The 24,737-nt window shown below is 37.2% G+C and overlaps 1 long non-coding RNA gene across 9 annotated transcripts in view; it reads right to left on the bottom strand.

Moving 5' to 3' along the window:
* The window catches only part of LOC105379362 (uncharacterized), a 122,073-nt gene that overhangs the window by 89,290 nt on the left and 8,046 nt on the right, over positions 1 to 24,737 (bottom strand). The window contains exon 2 of one of the 9 annotated variants that reach the window (NR_188155.1): positions 9,641 to 9,732. The exons of the other annotated variants lie outside the window; for them this stretch is intronic. This is a non-coding gene — a long non-coding RNA (uncharacterized LOC105379362). The remainder of the gene's footprint in view (positions 1 to 9,640; positions 9,733 to 24,737) is intronic. 9 annotated transcript variants of the gene reach the window in all.

The raw sequence follows: 24,737 nt of genomic DNA, 5'->3' as shown, positions 1-24,737 counted from the left end.
GCTGTAGAAAAACTTACCCTGTCTGGGGTGTTTAGACACAAACTAATGACCAGAAAATGTGATCTTCAGAATGGTGCTTGGAAGTCATTCCTGTGACTTAAAAAGTTCAGCTACTTTCTTTTTATTTTATTTTTTTCTTAGACAGGGTCTCACGCTGTTGCAATCACAGCTCACTGCAGCCTCAACCTCCCTGGGCTCAGGTGATCCTCCCACCTCAGCCTACCAAGTAGACTACAGGTGTACACCACCATGCCCAGCTTCTTATTTTTCCTTTTTTTGTAGAGACCAAGTCTTGCCATGATGCCCAGGTGGGTCTCGAACTCCTGGGATCAAGTGATCTGCCCTCTTCTGCCTCCCAAAGTGCTGAGATTACAGATGTGAGCCACTGCACCCAGCTAAGTCAGCTACTTTCTTTCAGCAAATGATAGGCTCAGAGAGATTAAACTCAGAAAGGACTAAATGCAAATAGCTGAGATCTTGCCTTCACTTCCTTCTTACAGTGAATAAATATGCACCCAGAATGAAGTGAGGCAATAAAGGTCCTTTATATAGGAAGATTCATAAAGGACAGAAAGCCAAATAGAGATCTAGAGTCCAACCTGTTTTTCCTTTTCCTATATTTTCTATTGGTACATGCTGAACAGACTTTTTTTTTTTTTTTTTTTGAGATGCAGTCTCCCTCTATCACCCAGGCTGGAGTGCAGTGGCGCACTCTCGGCTCACTGCAACCTCCGCCTCCTAGGTTCAAGCGATTCTCCTGCCTCAGCCTCCCAAGTAGCTGGGACTACAGGCACATGCCACCATACCCGGCTAATTTTTTGTATTTTTAGTAGAGATGGGGTTTCACCATGTTAGCCAGGATGGTCTTGATCTGCTGACGTCATGATCCACCTGCCTCGGCCTCCCAAAGTGCTGGGATTATAGGCATGAGCCATTGCGCCTGGCCACATCTTTCTTATACTAAAAGCAGAAGCTCTGTGCTGAAGAAAAGAACAATGAAGTCTGCAGAAGCCTGATGTTCTAGTTCTGTGCTACCCACTGTGCACAAAGGAGTTGCACCATGTGGTCTCCAGCATGTATCTAGTTCTAAAATTCTACGTCCCAATGATTCTAAAGTCAGAAGTGTCCTCACTGCATGTTATAGTTATTGACAAATCCAATATCTACAAGAGTTTCTGTGTATATATTTCAAGTTTTGAAAACACAAGTCTTAAGTTTTTTCTCAAAATATAGATAGTAGTTAAAAATACGAAATCACTTAATAAACACCCTAAATACTTGGTAGAATTTCAAAGTCTCTATCAATTTCAAAGGGAAGCACTTGGGTTTTCCTGGAACCTGTACTTTAAAACCAAGATCTTTCAGTAGATAGTTGCTTGCAAGGGGAAATCCAAGGGAAAAGAAATGTTCACCCACTTAAAAAAAAATCTCTCGGCTGGGTGTGGTGGCTTATACCTGAAATCCCCGCACTTTGGGAGGCCGAGGCGGGTGGATCACCTGAGGTCAGCAGTTCACGACCAGCCTGGCCAATGTGGTGAAACCCCGTCTCTACCAAAAATACAAAAATTAGCTGGGTGTGGTGGTGGGCACCTGTAATCCTAGCTACTGGGGAGGCTGAGGCAGGAGGATTGCTTGAAACTGGGAAGTGGAGGTTGCAGTGAGTTGAAATACTGCCATTGCAGTCCAGCCTGGGCGACAAGAGTAAAACTGTCTCAAAAACAAACAAACAAACAAACAAACAAAAAATCTCTCCACACAAATGGCCAAACTCATGCAGAAATGCTTGACATCAATAATCATCAGAAATGCAAATCAAAACCACAATAAGATACTAATTCACACCAGTCAGAATCACTATTATTAACATAAAAAGTCAGAAAACAATAGATGCTGGTGATGTTGCAGAGAAAAGGGAACACTCATACACTGCTGCTGGGAATGTAAATTAGTTCAGCGACTGTGAAAAGCAGTCTGGGGATTTCTCAAAGAACTTAAAACAAAACTACCATTTTACCCAGCAGTCCCATTATTGGATATATATCCAGAAGAAAACAAATTGTTCTACCAAAAAGACACATGCACTTACGTGTTCATCACAGCACTATTCACAATAGCAAAGACATGGAATCAACCCAAGTATCCATCAACAGTGGATTGGATAAAGCAAATATGGTATATATACATCATGGAATACCATGTACCCATTAAAAAGAATGAAATCATGTCCCTTGCAGCAACATGTATACACCTGAAGGCCATTATTCTAAACGAACTGATGCAGGAACAGAAAACCAAATACAGCATGTCCTCACCTATAAGTGGGAGCTAAACATTGGGTACATACACATGGACAAAAAGATGGTAACAACAGACACTGGGGACTACTAGAGGGAAAAGGATGGGGGTGGGGCGAGGGTTGAAAAACTAACCGTTGAGTACTATACTGACTACCTGGGTGACAAGATCAGTCATACTCTAGACCTCAGCATCATGCGATATACCCATGTAACAAAGTTGCACATGTACCCCCTGAATCTAAAATAAAAGTTGAAATTATAAAAATAAAATAAAATGTCAGATGTCTTTCCAGTTAGCTTACATTCTGTTGGAAATTCTGAACACTACTAAATGGACTGGTTATAAGGAAAACATGTTCAATGTTCTTGACAAATGTTCTGTGGAAAAGGAAACGTTGTCAGTCATTACGAAAAATATTATTAACTTATTTTGAAAGGTCTGAGACTCTGAGGGAAGGAAAAAGAGGTTTGATTCATTTTTATTTATAATGGGTATTAAGAGAAAGACCAGTTGTTTTCTGGAAAGCACAGATAAGGTATAACATATGCGTGGAGATCTTAAGTGGCTTAAACACACAAATAATTACTCTCCTAAATAAGCACAAGTCTTGTATGAAAGCCCCCCAAAAGCCTCATCTGAAATGGAAGCACCTTTTGTCTCTCTGCTCTGTCACTGTAGGCTTCAGCTATGGAATGTACATTCCAGACCTCCAAAAGGAGAGGAGAAAAGGAAAAAAAAAAAACCCACCTCTAAACCGAGTTAGCTCTTTTTAAAGAGCCTCCTTAGCTGTTTCACACAATAATTTTGCTTTCATCACATTGGCCAGAATTTAGTACTATAGTCACACCTAGCTGCAAAGGAGGCTGTGAAATGTAGTGTTTTAGCTAGGCATATGTTCTGGAATAAAATTAGGGTTCTGTTATTAAGGAAAAGGGGGATACTTGATATTGGGTAGACAACTAGCAGCTTCTGCTTGAATAACCATAAGGGGAAATTGAAATTGAACATTAGAAAGGATGAAATGGTGTATGAAGTTGGACAATAACTTTTCTTACATCCCAAGTTTGTGCAGTATAAATGCTACTGCTGGTGGGTCATTGAGGCTATAGACTTATGTACAATACCACATTGAGCAGCAAAATAATAATAAAAAGTCACTATCCCCTCTTGGTCTCAATTATTTCTACATAAAAAATGAGGAAATCTATTATATATCAGTAGTTTTTAGACTTTTTCTTAGCAGCAGAATTCTTTCTTCAAACAAAATTTATGCAGATTCTCAGAGAAGACTGAAAAAGGGAGAACTTATTCCCATTGACTGGGAGCTTCATACCATGGTCTTTGTTCTCCAATATGGCCTCTGAGATATCCCAGGGCTCTAACGAAGAAAATGTGAAATCTACTGGTCTTTATGCTTTTTAGACTTCAACAATTTAGGGTTTCATGACTCAGACCAAAAACAAAGGCTTTTGAAGTCTTTCATTCATAAGGCTTTTTCTTCCAATACCTACTAAACAATGGATTTGGGGAAGAAAACGTCTCTGAGAAGCCTTCTAATATCTGACCTTGTTTGGATAAAATAAAACATAAAATTTGACCCTCTGTAAGGTTTCTCTGGAATTCCTTACAAGCACAGATGTCTACATCTTACATATCTTGCCATTTATTAAAATTAGATAAGTAGCTCAATTCAATGTGTGCTATTAAGGTTCTCAATGTTTCCCTCCATGAATTGTTACTTCTGAAGACCACAAAAGCATTGTTTAGATAATCTACATCTGATCACACCTAAACTTCTATACATTTCTTAGTTAATGCTTGGAGTCTATCCAAAGGTGAATATTGGAGGGAGAAGTTTGACTTTCTTCCATGCAGTCAATTTAATATGGTCAGGCAGAGGGAGAAGATATTGTCCTACAGGAATTTTAACCAAAGTGCTGGAGTTTAAATTTCATGTGTGGCTTTTCCTTTATGAGGATTAGCTGCTGTGCAGGTCTGAAAAAAATGCTGGGGAAAAGTAAAATTATAGGTAGAGATGGTGTAAAACCAAGGGTGGCTTTCGAGTCACACTTATATAGGAATATAGAACTCTTTACACTTTCCAAGTTTTCCCCATCCTATTGGGACTCTTAAACTGAAATAATAATCTCTTTCCCCTTTTAAATAATTCTTGTCCTATTTTTAAGACTACTAGGGGAATAAAATAAAACACATGCAAAACTTAACATCAGCATTACTAAAACATATGTAACAGCATGCAGAAACTCCACAGATCTTGTAAAAATCCACTTAAGACCACAGAGAAAATCACCAAAAGCACAGGCCAAAATGTACTTGAATGGAGAGTGTGTGTTTGGAGGGCAGGAAACTCACAATTTACTCCTGGCTTTGTCATTACCCAAATCTGGGCCTTCTGTACAGTCATTTTTAATCTATCTGAATGTTTCTCTCACCCTTCTTATAATTGAGGGATAGTCCTCTCTTGTCTTTCAGAAATATTGGTAATATTTTGGTCATTAACCTAATATTCTTGGGTCAAATGAAAGAAAGTGGCTCAGTAACTCAAGGGGTATTATAGCTCTGACAAACACTAATGAAATACAAGATGATATGGTTCTTGTAGAGTCATGGGACTGGCATTAGATCTAAGGTCATTTACAGAATACGTTAAGTTCATGATTATCTACCATTCTCCATGAATCCATAGCTCTTTGGCCAAGTTCTCAATTAGTTACTCTAGATTATTTAATTGTCATGTTCCCCTGACTTCCAGGCTTTATGTCCTTCATTTTTAACCAGAGGTTTAAAAACATCAACTTTTCATACAGTGAATTTTCTTGCATCCTAAATCTAGTGCTCCAAGTGGGGAGAGATGAGGTGCTACAAATCAATGGACTTTCAGGTTTTTCTCTTCACTGCTGAGGTCACTGGGGCCCTTTCTGTCTCAATTCTAATAGTTCCAAACAGCCCAGTGGTCTCTAGTCCCTTGACCTTGAAATTTGGGCTTGGGTCCACAGTATTCAGAACTGGGAGGCAGCCCAAGTATAGCTCTTGGCTGGCTGCAGCCCAAACGTTTGGTGAAACTCCTAGAAACAAAATATCTATAAACAAACAAAATTAACTAATGCAGGACCTTTTATGCCATTTGAATTTAAATAAAAGCAATTACATTTTAAAAGTCACATAGAAGTATATAAGGAAGTTTTTATTGGCTAAAAGATACTCTTTAGCAACATGATGTGGTGGTTTTTAGGAACAGGGTGGATTAGTTTTTTTGTTGTTGTTGTTAGGTGTTTTTTGTTTGTTTGTTTTTTAGTAGTTGGGACTGGCTTATGTTCAGTGGACACCTGGACAGTAGGCAAACTTGAAATGAAAGCTAGATTGCCCACCAATGTCACACTGCAGAGCATTGCTATAGAAGCCACTGGAAAAAGTATTAGAAATATATTTACAGTACACATGCAGCTCAGATCATTGCTGTGATGGAGGCTGCATGTTTCATGACCTATCTAATGGTTTTTGCTTTACAGAGAATCCCAGGACAATTCACAAGTTAAACACTAGTAGCATGGGAAAGAATTCTCTCTTTGCAATAAAAGAGATCTCTTTCAGTTATAGTTCAAGTAACACAGGCAAATTACATATTTCAACTACAGGTACTAACAATATTTTAGTAAACATTATGAGCCAAAGAATTCTAGTCATGAGTTTTAGAGCTCTTTAGGTATTTTCCTATTTGTAATGTCCATCCGCTAACTCATTCATTTCTTCATTAATTTATTTAGCAAAGAGTAGTTGAACATTTTTTATGTACTAGCAAAATGCTACATATGATGGTTGCACAAGCATGTATAAGATACAATCAAATCTTATGTGGTAGTTTTAAAATAAGCCCATAAATTATTTTATACTCCTCTCTTCAAAAAGTAGAGCTTAAAGCCCTGCCCCTTCAATGAGGGCTGGATTTAGTGACTCATGTCTAACAATAGAATATTGCAGAAGTGACAGTATGTGGTTTCTAAGACTAGGCATGGTAGTGTGTGCCTGTAGTCCCAGCTACTCAGGAGGCTGAGGCAGGAGGATTGCTTAAGCTCAAGAGTTTGAGGTTACAATGTGCTATGATTGTGCCACTGCACTCCAGCCTGGGTGACAAAGTGGGACCCTGTCAATCATTCAAATCAATTAATCAATGGAAATAAAAGGCATTGTGCATTGTTCCTCCTTTCTCTTTTCTATTACACACACTGGGGAAGTTATCTGCCACATTGCGATGGCACTCAGGCAGCCTTATGGAGGTATCTTAATGGTGAGGAACTGAGATTTCCAGTGAACATCCATGTGAGTGACCACCTTGGAACTGGCTCCTCCAGATTCTCAGATAAGGCTTCAGATAATACAGCCCCAGCCAATATCCTGACTGCAGCAACATGGGAAATCCTGAGCTAGAATCTTCAAGCTAAGCTGCTCTAGAGTCCTAATCTTCAGAATTGTGTGAGATCATAAATGTTTATTACTTTAAGATACTAGGTTTCGGGGGTAATTTGTCATGCATTATTCAGAGGTTTCATAAGTATCTCACAAAATGATGCTTATCTCCTCAACATCTATTCTGCCTTCCTTCATTGTTTAGAGAGTCATATATAAAGACAGTATGCCTCAAAGTAATAATTTATTCTTCTTGCTACAAGAATAAAGAGATTATTCACCAAGCGTCAGGACTTGGCTGGTACGATGTTCTAGCAGGAACTAGAAGAACATGTTTTGGACTGGAGCTTGAGGGTAGTAGACCAGAAAGGATGAAATATAAGGCTGGATAGAGGAGAGTTTACTGATATGGGATCCTCTTTCTTGAATCATGATTTAACATTTTGGCAAGAATGCCTGGAGTCCATCCTCATGTGTTGTGAGAATGGCTCTTTGAAGCCTGGAAACAATGAAGGCCTACAGAAAATGAGGTGGAAACTTGGCAGAGTATTAGAGAAGGAGTCATATAGTTCTGAGAGGTGAATGTAGCAGAATGGATTGGTTAAGATCTCTCTTTTTCAGAAAATCTGCCATGTTATATTTCCAATTCTTTTTATTAAAGTAATAAGAAATTTGCCAGTGAGAGTAGCGTCATCACCACTGAGAAGCACAGGAGCGGCTCTCCTCTGTACCCAGGCTTAATGACAGGAGGTACTGCAGTGGATCTGGAATCCCTAACGGAGGTAGGAATATAAGATTCTGGAATTTCAGAGACCATGTGGCAGTACTTAACTACTTAGGCGAGATAGATATTCTTACATGATGGAGAGCAACAGGGGTCTTGGCTCACAGAGGTCTATGGCAAAGCCCATAGATCATAATTTTCTTTGGGGTAAGATAAATGAACAACCAATGAAAGTATTGCTTGATTTATAAAACAGAAAATATCAACAATAAGTGAGAAGCTTGATCTTAGGCACTACAATTGTAAGTCACAATCTTTTTCCCAGTTGCCATATGTGCAGTAGTTCTCAGATGTAGAGCCTATTTACTACATGGAAATCTAGGTCTCTTTGAGGAAAGTCCCTGCAATACAAGTATATTCCCTAAAAGAATCTACACCCATTTCCCAAAGAAACTCTATGATAAGGAAAGGAGGCTATCTTTTTCGAGAGCTGCTAGATAATGGGTCTGAGTTAAAACTGATTTCAGGGAACACAAAATGCCGTAATGACCCCTCTGATACAGTGTCATGAAAAGATGACAGTGGAGTGGTTTGAAGTCCATCTCACAGTAATAGTGGGTCCACCAACCCACCCTGTGGTTTCTCCTCAGTTCCTTGAGGCATAATCAGGATGGATACAATTACAAACATTTCCTAAACTTTGGAAAAGACCCATTATAAAAGGATAGTAAAGACCAAGTGTAAGATACTAAAATTCCCTCACAACCCCACCAAGATAGCAAATCAGGAACAATACTGCATGCTAGATAAAATGGCAAAGACTAGCGTCACCCTCAAAGACTTAAGGAAAGCAGAAGAGGTAGTCTTCATCACGTCCCTACTTAATTCACCAATCTGGTGAAAATTAGATGGTGAAAGTCATGGAAGATGATGTTGGACTACATTAACTTAATCAACTGGTAGCCACAAGCATAGTCAATGTGCTGGAAGTAGAAGATTTACTAGGAAGATCAAAACATCCTCTGGAATTTGGCATACAGCTCTTGATATCGTACATGCCTTCTTTCAATGCCCATCAAGAAGGAGCATCAAAAGCTGTCTTCATTCACTTAGAATGAACTGCAAACCTTATATATCGACTTGTCCTAGGCTTTTGTTAGCTTTCCTTTCTCAGCAAGGTACCTTGAGAATCTTGACATTTTGCAGAACATCATGGTGATCTCCTCATGAAAGTAATGACATCATGTAAGCTAAATGGTAATAATGTTATGATAGTAATGACATCATATAAACTAAATCTAGTAAATAGGAAGTGATAAGTACTCTGGATGGCCTAGTAAGATACATGCATGACAAAGGATCAGAAATATTATCTGTACAATTCAAGCACCTTCCAAATTATCAGGAGGAAACCAACAGTCTAGGGCATTTTGGGATATTCCCTCCAAGGTAAATGACAAGTTATTGCACCCTGTACCTCTTACTACTAAGAAAGTACTTGGCAAACCTCTTTACATTTTGGAGAGAGCATATGCCATGCTGGGGAATATTGCTTAAGTCATTTAGTGGGTAATATGAAAGAGTGCCAATTTTGAGTGGTGACCAGAACAAGGGAGACCTCTGCAACATGTTCTAGCTCTGAAGCAATCGGTCCTGCCACTAGGGGCATATGACTTGGCATATCTAATGTTGCCAGAAGTTAGCACAGTAGATTAAACTTTAGAATTTCTCCCAAGCATTAATAGTTGAGTCGCAATACAGTCTCCTGGGGTTCAGGAACAAGGCCATGCCATCTGAGGCACAGAATTATTCACTGTTTACATAAACAGCTCCTGGGAGAGTTGTATCAGCAAAGATGGCAGAATAGAAAGCCCCAGACCTCCTTCTGCTGTAGACAGTGACTTAACAGCAATATACAATTCAAAAAGCTTTTATGAGGAATTCAGAAACCAGTTAAGACATCACAGTACCATAGACAAGCACAAAACTATAAACAGTTGCACTGAAACAAGAAAAACAATTGCATTTCACCCACTAAAGTTCTTTCCTCAAGCCAGCACAGCTTGGTGCAATTGAGAGGAAATGCCCAACTCGCAGCTTCTCCCTTGCGAGAGAAAGAGAAGTGTGGAAAATACGTCTAACATTCTAGTTTGGGCACAGGCTGACAAAAGATAGATTTATAGCTTGCCTTACTTGAAGCTGTGTTGGGGAACTGGCAGAACTTTGACATCTAGGAGCACTCTGAACAAAGAACAACTCAGTGGCTTGTTGTAGCACCAGAGAACCTGCAGTATGACCAAATTCAAGACAGGTCATTTGATATGACTGAGCCAGAGGAACAAAAAGAAAAATGAAGAAAGCCTAAGGAACTTATGGTACATTACCAAGTGGAACAATATTTACATATGAGAATCCAAAAAGGAGAAGAGAGAGAAAAAGGGATACAGAGTTTATTTTGAAGAAATCATTGATTTCTCCCTGATATAGTTTGGATCTGTGTCCCCACCAAATCTCATGTTGAGGAATAATCCCCAGTGTTGGAAGTGGGGCCTAGCGGGATGTGATTGGATCATGATGTTGGATTTCTCATGAATGGTTTAGCACCATCCCCCCCGGTACTGTCCTTGTGACAGTGTGAGTTCTTGTGAGATCTGGTCATTTAAAAGCGTGTGGCACCTTCCTGTTCACTCTCTTGCTCTTGCTCCAGCCATGTGACATGCCTGCTCCTCCTTGGCCTGCTGCCATGATTGTAAGTTTCTTGAGGCCTTTCCAGAGGACAAGCAGATGCCAGCATCATGCTTTCTGTATAGCCTGAGGAACCATGAACCAATTAAACCTCATTTCTTCATGAATTACCCAATCTCAGGTATTTCTTTACAGCAATGCAAGAATGGACCAATATACTCCTCAGACCAATTGGACTAAACGGGCATTCAAATGTGAAAAACTCAAAGCACTCTAAGATGAATTTAAAGCAACCCACACGGAAACATATTGTAATCTAATTGTCAAAAGTCAAAGGCAAGGAGAGAATTTTGAAACCACCAAGAAACAAATAACTCATGACATACTAGGGAGCTTAAATAATATTACCAGTGGGTTTCTCAGCAGAAACATTACCAGACAGAAAGGAGTGGGATGATTTATTTGAAGAGCTTAAAAAAAAAAAAAAACCTGCTAACCAAGGATATTGTCTATCTTTCTATGTCTATCTATGCTATATCCAGCAAAACTTACCTTTAAAAATGAAGAAAAAACCAAGACCTTTCCAGGTAAACAAAACTAAGGGAGTTTCTCACTGGAAAGACCTGTCTTAAAATAAATGCTAAAGGAACGCTTTAGGTTTAAATGAAATAACTCCAGACAGCAACATGAAAGCACATAAAAAATATAAAAGTCTTTGATATGGGTAAATATACAGACAAATAGAATCCTGTAATTCTGTAATGGTGGTATGTAAACAGTTTTAATTCTGGTATAGAATTTAAAATGTAAAAGCATAAATATAATTATAAAATATATTAATAATGCAAAATACAAAAACATGTAATTTGTGACATCAATAAGTTAAAGTGGTGTAGGGGATATAAGGAGCAGAGTTTCTGTATTTAACTGAAGTTGTTATCCATTTAAAATAAATTGTTGCAATTAAGAGTTTTAAAAAATCTCAATGATGACCAAAAATAAAACACCTATAGAAGATATACAAAAGAAAATGAGAAATAAAGCATGCCACTACAAAACAATAAAACACAAAGGAAGGAAGCAAGGGAGGAAAAGAGAGACAAAATTAAGACATATAGAGAAAACAATTAACCAAATGGCAGTAAGTCCTTCCCTATCAGTAATTACTTTACATGTAAATGGATTAAACTCAATAAACAGACACAGAGTAGCTACATGGATTAAAAAAAGGATCAAAGTAGTTGCCTGTAGGTGAGTCACTTCAAATCTAAAGACACACATAGGCTGAAGATGAAAGGATGGAATAAGATAATCTATGTAAATGGTGACCAAAAAAAGCAGAGGTGGCCATACTTATATCAGATAAAATCAATATAGAAACATGACTTAGACATCACTATAGACTAATTGAACCCAACAGATAGACACATAACATTCCACTCAAGAACAGCAAAATACACATTCTCCTCAAGCACACATGAAATATTCATCAAGATAGATCACATGTTAGGCCACAAAACAATTCTTAACAAATTTAAAATGACTGGAGTCATACCAATATCTTTTCTGAATAAAACGGAATAAAACTGGAAATCAATTAAACAAATCAAACTGGAAAATTCACTTACATGTGGAAATTAAGCAATATACTCTTGAGCAACCGATGGGTAAAAGAAGAAATCACAAAGGAAATTGGAAAATATCTCGAGAAAAGTGAAAACACAACAAACCAAAACTTTATGGGATATAGCAAATGTCCTAGAAACATACAACCTACCAGGACTGAATCATGAGTAAATTTTAAGATGTCAGCATACCTACATCTAGCAAGGAGAATAAATCAGTAATCAAAAATCTCCCAACAAAGAAAAGATCAGGACCAGCTGGCTTCGCTGGAAAATTCTATCAAAAATTTAAAGAAAAATTAATCCCAATCCTTCTCAAACTTTTCCAAAAATTAAGAGGAAGGAACACTTCCAAATTCACTATATGGTACCAGTATTACCCTGATATTAAAATCAGACAAAGATACTTTGAGACAGGAAACAACAGACCAACATCCCTGATGAATATTGATGCAAAAATCCTCAACAAAATATTGGCAAACTGAATTTGCCAGTTCAGTGCATAAAGGCGCATAAAGGGATTATGCACCATGACTAGGTTGGATTTATTCTTAGAATGCAAGGATGGCTCAGTAAATGAAAAAAAATCAATGCAATACACAACATTAACCAAATACATTAAATAAAAAGCAAAACCACATGATTATCTCAATTGATGTAGAAAAAGTATTTGACAAAATACAATACCCTTTCCTAATAAAAACACCCAACAAAGTGTGAATAAAAATTACCTTAACATAATCAAGGCTATATATACAAAAAGTCCAAAGCTAATATACTCAACATTGAAAAACTGAATGTTTTCATCTAATAAGAGGAATAAAGAAAAGATGCCCCCTCTTGCCACTTGTATTCAACAATACTACAAGTCTCAGCCAGAGCAATTAAGCAGAAAAAGAAATAAAAGTCACAAATTTGAAAGGAAAGATAAATTATCTCTATTCTACAGATGACATGATCTTATGTGGACAACCCTAAAAATTCCACGAAAAACAAGCCTGTTGGACTTAATAAATTCCACAAATTTGCAAAAAAAAAATCAAGACACAAAAATTATTTGCATTTCTATGTGCTAACCATGAATAATCCAACAAGGAAAGTAAGAAAACAATCTCATTTCCTATAGCATTGAAAAGAATAAAATACTTAGGAATATGCTTAGCCAAGGAGGTAAAAGACTTGTATACTGAAAACTATAAAACATAGATAAAAGAAATGTTTAAAGATGCAAATAAATTGAAAGGTATCACACGTTCATGGATTGGAAGACAATATTGTTGATATATCCATACCACCCAAAGTAATTTGTAGATTAAATGCAATCCTTATCAAAATATCATTAGTTTTTCTTTCAAAAATAGAAAACATTCTAAAATTTATATGGAATCTCAAAGGACCCTAAGTGGCCAAAACAAAATTGAGAAACAGCAAAGCTAGAGAACTCACACTTTCTGATTTCGAAACATATTACAAAGCTACATTAATCAAAAGAGTATGATACTGACACAAAGACATACAAATAGACTAATGGAACAGAATAGACAGCCCAGAAATAGTCTCTAATGTATACGGTTACATGATCTTCAACAAAGGCACCATGGCTACATAGTAAGGAAAGAGTAGTCTCTTCAACAAATGGTATTTGGAAAATTTTACATTCATAGGCAAAGAATAAAATTAGACTCTTACCTTACACCATATATAAAAATTAACTCAAAATGGGTTAAAGATCTAAATAGAAAACTTGAAATTATAGGTTTTTATAGGAGAAAACTCCAGGGAAAATCTTATAATATTAGATTTGGCAGTAATTTCTTGGATATGATCACAAAAGCACAGGCAACAAATGCAATAATAGACAAATGGGACTACATCAAACTTAAACACTTCTGTGCAGCAAAGAAAACACTCAACAGAGTGAAAAAGATAACCTATTTAATTGGAAGAAATTAGAAGAAATAGTTGCAAACCATGTAGGGAGTAATATCCAATATGCATAAAGAATTCCTACAACTCAAAAACATCAACAAATAATCTGATTTAAAAATGGGCAAAGGATTTGAATAGACCGTTCTCTAAAGAAGATATACAAATGACCAAAAAACATGTAAAGATGCTCAATATCACTAGTCATAAAAGAAATGAAAATCTCAGTAACACATCACAGCCATTAGGATGGCCGTTGTAAAAAACACACACACCGAGGAAAGAACTAGTGTCACTGAGGACATGGAGAAGCTGGAACACTTAGGCATTATTGGTGGAAATAGTAAAATGGTGTAGCTGCTAGAGAAAACAGCAAAGAAATTTGTCAACACGTTAAAAAAGAGAATTACCATATGATCCAGCAATCCCACTTCTGGGTATATATCCAAGAAAACTGAAAGGAGGATTTTGAAGAGGTAGTTGCACTTCCATGTTCATTGCAGCATTATTCTCAATAGCCTGGAGGTTAAAGCAGCCCAAATGTCCATTAATAGATTAGTAGATGAAAAAAATGTGATGCCAGGGGCTTCAATGGCTGACTAGTCATCTGTTACTTGCCTCCTCCACAAAGAAGAAACAAAACAGCAAGTAGATAATCATACTTTAATAGATCACCTAAGAGAGGATGCTGGAATTCAATAGAGAAGTGACAGAAAATACCCAAAGCAAGGAAGGAGAAAAAAGTGAGGCAGCCTGCTCCATCAGGATTGGCTTGGAGCCAGGAGAGGCTTCCCCATGAGGGAGAAGGGTAGGTGAATAACCCCCAGTGGTACACATTCCCATCATGGACTCCTTTAATCCTAGCCATAGAGGAGAGCCCCTCAACCCTCACAGGCCCTTAGACTAACATAAGGATCTGCCTGGAGACTACATAACAGATTGCTCCAGAGAGGGAGCTCACACTGGGTCCCACATATCCTCCAAGTCCTAAGCAGCTACAGCAGGGCACCATTTTGAGAGCGCATCCCTCACCAAACTGGATTCTGCCCTGGGGCCCAACATTGATATATCTGGAACCCCACTGACATCCCCTGCCCACAGTTGTATACCACTGCTGACTGCTGCTGCCAGGGCCAAAGCCTAACTATTGGCAGTAATCCTTTCACCTCCAGTAGCAGCACCACAGTACATTTAAATGTGTCCTAAGGAAAGGGTACCCCATTTATAAGGCCAACACCTGGGGCCAAAGTGTTTGCTTCCCAGACTTCCATTTATGGCTACTGCCACTTAAAATAAGCCCACCTTCCCCAGCAGTGGGGATGCTGCACAGCCATTTCCTCTTGCACTTGAGCATTCTGCCAGGGGCCTGGGATCACCCCATCCATGCCTACTACAGCCAGCACCTGCACACATTAGCGAGGCGCCTGAGGACAGTCCCACCTGGACCAACTCCACTCCCACTAGTGCCTGACCAAGTGCTCCCCCTAGTGCCCAACCAAGCATCTCCAACCCCATCTGGGGGCCTGGAGATTACCCTGACTCATCCACCAATACTGGCATCTGAGCATTCCTTCTGGAAGCCTGAGGATAAGCCCATCCAACCTGCTGCTACAACCATAGCTGACACCCACCTGCAGGCCTGGGGACTGGCCCACCAAGTCTGTCACAGTCACTACTGACACCAGTGCAGACTACTTGGAAGCCAGGGGATTGTCCTGACACTGCTAATACCATTGTCCATGCCACACTGCACAGGAGCCCAAAGACCCACTCGCTCACCCAGCCCACTAATGCCACTGCTGGCACCCAAGCCAGCCAGCCAGAGGCCCAAGAATTGGTCTGCCTGAACCCACTGACACTGGTGCTAGTGTATACCACCCTGGGTTACAGGAACAAGCATAGTCAGCCTACCACTGACACCACTGGGGCCCACCTGATATCTCCATTCCAAGCATAACTTACCACAACCTCTACTGACATGGCACCCTAAGCCACTGAGGAAATCACCGATGCTACTGATATTGTTTATAGCTAATGAAATGATATGCACACATCACCGCATGCATTCAGAATCAAAGGCAAAGTACCCTCCCAGCCAACACCATGGATACATTTTCAGGAAAAAGTCCTCCCCTACAAGAGCAAATTGAAAAAATTGAAAGAAGTGACTGTCACATCAGAAGCACAGATATCAATGTAAGGACAAAGGAGATATAAAAAAGAAAATATGACACCACCAAAGGAACACAATAATTCTCCACCAATAGAATCCATTAAGAAATTTATGAAATCCTGGGAAAAGAATTCAAAATAATGATATTAAAGAAGGTGACATACAAGAGAAGAAAAATATAAAGAAATCAGAAAAACAATTCAGGATATGAATGAGAAATTTACCAAAGAGATAGGTATCATTAAAAACAACCAAACAGAAACTCTGGAACTAAAGAATTCATTCAATCAATGACAAATATACTTGAGAGTTTCAACAACAGACTAAGTCAAGCAGAAGAAAGAATTCAAAACCTGAAGACAGGTCTTTCAAAATCATTCAGTCAAATAAAAAATTTTATAAAAGAATAAACAAAGCCTACATGACAGATGGAACACATAACATGACCAAATATTCAAATTTTCTGTGTCCCAAAAGGCAAAGAGAAAACAAAAGGGATAGAAAACATATTTAATGAAATAATAGCTGAAAAATTCCCAAGTCTACCAAGGATTTAGATAGCCAGATATAGGAAGCTCAGAGATTTCCAAACAGACAAATGCAAAAGGTTTTCTCCATGGCACATTATAGTCAAGTTGTCAAAAGTCAAAGACAGAATTCTCAAAACAGCAAGAGAAAAGTCTTCAGTCACTTATAAGAAAACCCCCATCAGACTAACAGTGGATTTCTCAGCAGAAACTTTACAGGCCAGGAGAGAATGGAGTGGTTTATTCAAAGTGCTCAAAGAAAAAAAGTATATACCCAACGAAGTTATCATTCACCAATAAAGGAGAAATAAAGACTTTTCCAGATAAACAAAAGCTAAGGAAATTAATCATCACTAGACCAGCCCTACAAAAATTGATTAAGGGAAGCAAAAATACGTTATCTGCCATCATGAAAACACATGAAAGTATAAAACCCACTCATAGAGTTAACATACAAATGAGGAAGAGAAAGAACTCAAATGTTACCCCTACAGAAAACCACCAAAGCACAATGATAAACAGCGAGAAAGGAACAAAGAAAATACAAGCCAACAAGAAATCAGTAAATAAAATGACATGAATAACCAAGCCTCCAATATCAATAACAACTTTGAGTGTAAATAGATTAAACTTTTATCTTAAAAGATACAGACTGGCTGAATAGATTTTAAAAAATGACCCAATTAGGTGCGCCAACAAGATACTCATCTCACCTTTAAAGATGTATAGGCTGAAAGTAAAGGTATGGAAAATGATATTCAGATATTCCATGCAATCAGAAACCAAAAACAAGCAGGAATAGCTGTACTTATGTCAATTAAAACAGACTTTAAGTCAAAAACAGTAAAGAGAGGCAAAGAAGGTTGTTATGTAATAAAGGGATCAATTCAGCAAGAGGACATAACAATTCTAAACATATATGCACTCAGTACTGGAGGACCCAGATATATAAAGCAAATTTCACTAGATCTAAAGGGAAATATAATCTCCAATACAATAATAATTGGGGACTTCAATACTCCACTCTCAGCATTAGAAAGATAATATAGACAGCAAATTAACAAAAAAGCATAGGATTTAAATTGCACTGTAGGCCAAATAGAGCTAACAGATATTTATAGAACATTTTGTATAATAGCTATAGAATACAAATTCTTCTGACCAGCAAATGGGACATTCTCCAGGATAGACCATATGCTGGGACACAAAACAAGTCTCAAAAAATTACAAAAAAAATGCAAAATCAAACAAAATCGAAAGTTAATAGAAGAAAAGAATAAAGATCAGAGCAGAACTACACAAAATAGAGACTAAAAAAAATACAAGGAGCCAATGAAACAAAGAGCTGGCTTTTTGGGAAAAAAGCAAAAATTGATAAAGCACTAGCTACACCAACCAAGAAAAAAGAAAATCCAAATAAAATCAGAAATAAAAACCAAGACATATAAGTGATACCACAGAAATATAAAAGATGAGAGTATATTATGAACAACTATTCACTAACAAGCTTGAAAACCCAGAAGAAATAAACAAATTTCTGGATATATACACCTACCAAGATTGAATCGAGAAGAAACAGTAAACCTGAACAGACTAATGATGAAATTGACTCAGTAATAAAGTCTCTGCCAACAAAGAAAAGTCAGGAGCAGATGGCTCCACTGCAGAATTCTACCAAATTTACAAAAAACTAATACCAATTCTCTTCAAACTATTTCAAAAAATTGAAGCACAGAAAATTCTCTCTAATTAATTCTATGAGGCCAGCATTACCTTGATATTAAAACAAGACAAGGATGCAACAATAATAAAACTGAAATCGATATGTTTGATGAACATACATGTAAAAATCCTCAACAAAATACTAGCAAAACAAATCCAACAGCACATCAAACAGCTAATACACCATGATTAAGTGGGATTTTTGCCAGAGATATAAGGATAGTTCAACATATACATATCAATAAAGGTAAAACATCACATCAACATAATGAAGGACAAGAACCATATCACCTCAATAGATACAGAAAAAGCGTTTGATAAAATTTAACATTCTTTAATGATGAAAACTCTCAACAAACAAGGCATAGAAGGAACATATCTCAATATAATAAAGGCCATATATGATAAACTCACAGCTAACATCATATAAATGGGGAAAAGCAGAAAAGATTTTCTTCTAAGGACCGGAACAAGACAAGGATGTCCACTTTCACCATTCCTAGTCAATATAGTACTGGTAATCCCAGGCAGAGTAATCAGGCTAAATAAATAAATAAAACACTTAAATAGCATCCACCTTGGAAAAGAAGATGTCAAATTGTCCATCTTTGCAGATGGCATGATCCCATATCTAGAAAACCTAAGGACCTCACCAAAAAACTTAGAATTGATTAAAAAAAAAAGTTTAGTAAAGTTGCAGGACACAAAATCGACATACAAAAATCAGTAGTATTTATAACACCAATAATGAACTATCTGAGAAAGAAATCAAGAAGGTAATTCCATTTACAATAGCTACCAAAATAAAATACCTACGAATAAATTTAACCAAGAAGGCGAAAGACCACTACAAGAAAAACTACAAAGCACTGAAGAAAGACACTGAAGAGGACACAAATGGAAATGACCATACTACCTAAAGCAATCTACATATTCAATGCACGCCCTATCAAAATACCCATGTCATTTTTCACAGAAATAGGAAAAACAATCCTAAAATTCACATGGAAACAAAAAAAGAGGCTGAATAGTCAAAGCTATCTTCAGCACAAAGAACAAAGTTGGAGGCATTATACTACCTGACATCAAAATATACTACAAAATTATAGTAACCACAACAGCATGTAATTGGTATAAAAACAGACACACAAACTAATGGAACAGAATAGAGAACTCCAAAATAAATCCATGTATTTACAGCCAACTAATTTTTTTTTTTACAAAGACAACAAGAACATACTAGGAAAAGAACTCTGTTTTCAGTAAACGGTGCTGGGAAAACTGGATATCCATATGCAGAACAATGAAATTGGATTTCTATCTCTCACCATATACAAAAATCAACTCAAGATGGATTGAAGACTTAAATGAAAGACCCAAAACTATAAAACCACTAGAAGAAAACATAGGGGAAATGTCTCAGGACATTGGTCTAAGCAAATATTTTATGGATTAGACCTTAAAGGCCCAGAAAACAAAAAAAACAGAAATAGATAAATGAGACTATATTAAACTAAAATACTTCTGCACAACATAGGAAACAATCAAAACTGAAGAGCCAGCCTGTTAAATGGCAGAAAATATTTGCAAAGTATGCATTCAGCAGGGGTCTAATATCCAGAATATACAAGGAACTCAAACAACTCAACAACAACAAAAACAAATAATTCCATTTAAAAGTAGGCTAAGGTCATGAATAAACATTTCTCAAAAGAAGACATACAAATGGCCAATAGCTGTATTAAAAAATACTCAATATCACTAAACCTCAGGGAAATACAAATAAAAACCACAATGAGATATCATCTCACCCCAAGTGGAATGGCCATTTTTTTTTTTACTTATGATAGATCAACTTATAATTTTTCAACTTTACCATGGTGTGAAAGGAACATACATTCAGTAAAAATCGTACATAGAAATTTGAATTTTGATCTTTTTTTAGAGCTAGCATATGCAGTATGATACTTTCTCTTGATGTTGGGCAGTGGTAGCAGTGAGCCACAGCTCCCAGGCAGCCAGCCACTCACGAGGGTAAACAATACTTGATATCTTCTTGACTAACACTATGCCTGCTAAACCATTAAGTGTCCATGCACCAGTGCCTTCTACCAGCTATTCTTGAGCCTCATCAGAAGAGACAGAAATTAATAACCCTGTTGCTGTAGCCTCCCCATCATCCAGCAATTGATTGTAGTCCAATTCTTCAAACATTCTTCAGGCCCAGTGTGCTTTCAGCTGTGTACATTAATGGTGAGTACCCATACAACCACTCTGTTTTCCACGTTAAGTACGGTATTCAATAAATTACATGAGATATTCAACACTCCATTAGAAAATAGGCTTTGTGTTAGATGATTTTGCCCAACTGTAGACTAATGTATGTGTTCCGAGCATGTTTAAGATAGGCTGGGCTATACTATGATATTCTGTAAGCTATTGAAAGCATTTTCAACTTATGATATATTCAAGTTACGATGGATTTGAAACAAAGTGGAATGGCTAGCACAACTACCCAAAGTCTCAAAATATCTGATTTACCAATGTAATATTGCCTCAGACTCAAAGGATCCATACTGTGGTGACATAGTAAGTCTAGATTGTGGGGTTCACTGATTCTACCATAAACAGCAGCACCCAAAGCTGCTGGTCTGACTGACAGAATGTTGAGACGGCTTTTTATAGCCATCCAAGTTGGGTATGACAGCATGCATAGTTAGGGTGCTATCCTTCGAAATAGAGAATACACTTTGAATCGATAAGCGTTATATGGCCTATGTTGATTACAGATAGAAAATGAGATCATGAAACAAAGGGTTAGGTAAGAAGTGGCTATTCTTACCATTGTTTTCAGTGGCCCACTTGGGAAATTTGTGCTTTCTATCTTTACATCAGGCTCTGATGGATTGTAAGTACTATTGCTGGAAAGGAAATTTTATACCAGGGGACAGAATATGGGTTTCACTAAACCCAAAGCTACTGGTACCACCTAGTCCCTTGGGACTAGACCAAGGGGCAAAGAAATAACTATACTGACTGAAGTATCTGACTATCATGAGAAGATATTGTTGCTGCTATATAATGAGGGCAAGAGGAAAAAATCAGAGGATTTAATAGGAATGTGTCTTGGTGCTCAATGCCCAGTAATAGCGATGGATGGGTAGTTGCAGTAACTATATTTGACAAAGGTTGAAATGAAAAAATGGGGGAGCATTTTCGTAGATGAGAGTACAGGTTACCTCCCTGGTGAAAGCCTACAGCAGCTGAGAGTGAGAGGAATCTAGAAAGCATGACAGAGGAAGATGATCAATATAAATAATGATCTTGAAACCAGTTGCAGCAGTAGGCTACAGATGATCACTTTAACCATTTTTCTGAGCCTTTCAAAAAATTTTTTGTCTGGCCATGACTTTGAAGAATTTCTAATCAGACAAATTTAACTCAACTTCGGACAGGAGTGAATGTGGGTAGTACCAGAGGTGAATTGTAGCTGATGCCTTTGCTGACCACATATATCCTCTCTGCTTTCACTGTTCCCATATACACCTGCAGGTTCGTACATCAAACAAAGCTTCTCATCTACACATCACTGACTGAGAGCAATTTCCGGCCACTGGAACATGTTAAGCTCAAATAGGACAGGCAGGGAGGAGCAGGGCACAGAAGCTCTATGAACATCTTCAACAGTGAAAAACAGGAATTAGTAAATACATATCTAAGCTTTCTTACCTTTGGGTAGAGCAGTTATTAGTGGGCCTGGCAACTAATGACTTACAGTGACAGGCTGATTATTAACACCTTCTATTGGCTTCATTCTGCTTACTCTGAATTGCCTCCCAAATAAACGAAGCATTCAATTCCAATGGGTGGTTTGCTTCAGTATTTTGGGTCTCAGTTAAGATCTCCAAGGTTAAGAGAGATTCTCTTTCCCCATGTAGTAATTACATGCAACTTCCAGGCACTTCGACTGACCTTAAATGATTTGCTACATTCTTCTATATATAAGTCTGCATATTGCTTCTGCTTTAAATATATCTCAATAGTATGTCAGGAATATTCAATCAGCTAAAATTAGAAAATTTTCTAATCAGAAAACCAAAATCTAAAGAACAGAGGAAATGGCTTGAAGCTAAGAATTTTTGATCTTTCATTCTCATCTCCCAACAATTTCCCATAAAGCCCTAAAAAGGCCAGTTAACTTTTTAGTGTCTATGCTTCCTAATGTGTTAAATGAGACTCATAACCCTGTGATGTAAGGGCAGTCAAGCAGATGAATTATTTAATGTTAGATGATCCATAATCTGCCACACACTACTATTTTGAAGATGCCCATGCATTATTCATTGCCGAATGCACTTATGTTATGTTATTAGAGTATACAATCTCTCACAAATTTCAGATATTACACACACTTTTTAATAGGTGGCAAGAACGATACATCCTGTGCGATATTTTTAGCTAAAATGAGTTAATCCTAGGTGGCCTAGAGTGAAATGTTTTAAGACTATATAAAAATAATAAACCTAACCATCTTGGTGATGATAAGTATTATTACTGTATTTATTTGTAGTTCAGTAGACTCCTGGCATTCAGGGATTTAATAACACAGTTTGTATTCTTTGGAGGCAACCTCAAGGGTTCACGCCACAGAGTGATGAGTAGTTTTGTGGTGGCATGGATTTTAATTGTACAAACTAATGGCCTGATATGTGGAGGCCTGTCCCAATACCACTACTCATGAACAGTGAGCTGGCTTCTTCTCATCCTATAAGTGGCTCACCTTAGCTCTGTTCTTCTTTCTCTTTCATGAGCAGTAACTGTTCTTAAGTGATAAAAACTTCATATATTTTTGAAAAATGGCTCTTATGGGAGAAATAAACCATTGCTAGTGCTGGTGATGAAAATGAAGAAGTCTAAGAAGCATTTATTCTTAGCCAGAAAGAGATTTTTAATAAAAAGTAGGATGTTGAACTTGGCAGACTTAAATCCATGATATGACAGAGTCCACCAAGTGGGTACATGAACACCAGAAAAATCATTTTATGAAATTTTTAACAAGAGTTCTCACCAAATCAAAAGTTGATTTTTGCATTTTTCTCTTTTAAAACAAGCGCTCATCTGAAGGCCAGAAAGGGAGCTTTAAGGTTTTAATTTTACTTTGTAACCTTTTTTTTTAGGACAGGTTGTATGCTATAGTAATGTTCTTTTGCATTTTTTAAATTAAATTTTAATAGCGTTTTAGTTAATTCTTTTGTATTTTCTAAGAGAAAAATCACAATCTTCAAATGAAAATGTTATCTTCTTTTTTAAAACATCGAATCATTAAATTCCTTATTTTGTAGTCTTGTACCAGCCCTTCAGAAATAATGATTAAAAATAGAGATACCCGACATGCTTCTACTGTTCTTAACTTTTACTGGAATATGTCTAGGGTTTCCCAAAGTATATTTTATTGAACAGTTGTACTCCTTGAAGAAAAAGTTCTATGACAAAACTTTAGAAATCTGCCACACTCTGTTTCCATGTTAGAGAATCAAAGAGCATATTCACCTATTGATTGTACCAAGCAGCCCCGTAATTTAATATTTTATGGTTTAATTTCATTTAATCCTGGGTTAAACTGCCTTGTCGAGAAATTAAAGAAAGAGAGAACAGTCCCCACTGTCTTATGAAGCCAAATAACTTGGATGGTACATTACAGGAGAAAAAAAAAATATGTATCAGTTTTTAATCTCATCCTCAAGCAAGTTGGCAGTCATTCATTTTGCGAACAACAATGTGAAGGAAAACCCCTGCCACAATGTCCCCAGTGGCAACCGCAGAATGGACACCAAGGCCTCCAATGAGTGAAAATAAGTCACACATGAAAGCTTCCCAAAGTGAACAAATATTGTGCTAGAGATGGTGGACTACTAAGTTTTGCTGACTAACCAGACAAACCATCCCTATGCTTTCTTTTATAGGCTTCTGGGTCAGTTTAACCTAAGAATTATAAGGCAAACTGTGAAAAGCTTTGATCCATTGGCAACTACTTTTTCGGTTTGAATTATGATTTTTTTTTAAATTTCTCTGCTATGTGATGGCAATTCTGATCTAGGATCCTTTCCTTCATATTGTCTTAATCATCAAAGTAACCTCACGGTCCATAAAAATTGGCTACATAATAGATCAACTCTATGAAGTTAGAATTATAAAAAGCTTTATAATAATAAAACTTTTTGCTTTTATAACTTGGGTATTCACATAAAAGTTAAACTGTTTAAAACTTCCGCGTTGCTGTTGGCTTTGGTCAGTTGCATCAATGTTCTTCAGTGAGATTTGCCTGAAGTTTCCTTTTGTGTGATACTTGGTCAAGTATTAATGGCACACTTCTATTTTTTTCCCAGCATTTTAAGACACTATATATATTCTGTTATCTATCCTCCAAAGACAGAAAGAGTTAATCTGTAAGTCTAAACAGCAGTAACTTTGAATAATATTTTTCAAAATTTTCCCATCCTATCATGTTTATTGATATATTTAAGTTTTGTATGTTCTCTTTAGCCAACATGGATAGTGTTAATTTTCCTTAAAAACTATTTCTTTCCAGATTTACAAAATCCAATAAATATCTTTTCTAAGGGGATGTTTTT

Source organism: Homo sapiens, chromosome 8, assembly GCF_000001405.40.
Source record: "Homo sapiens chromosome 8, GRCh38.p14 Primary Assembly".
In the NCBI taxonomy this organism is placed as follows: Eukaryota; Metazoa; Chordata; class Mammalia; order Primates; family Hominidae; genus Homo; species Homo sapiens.
This window is presented reverse-complemented; position numbering and strand designations above follow the sequence as displayed.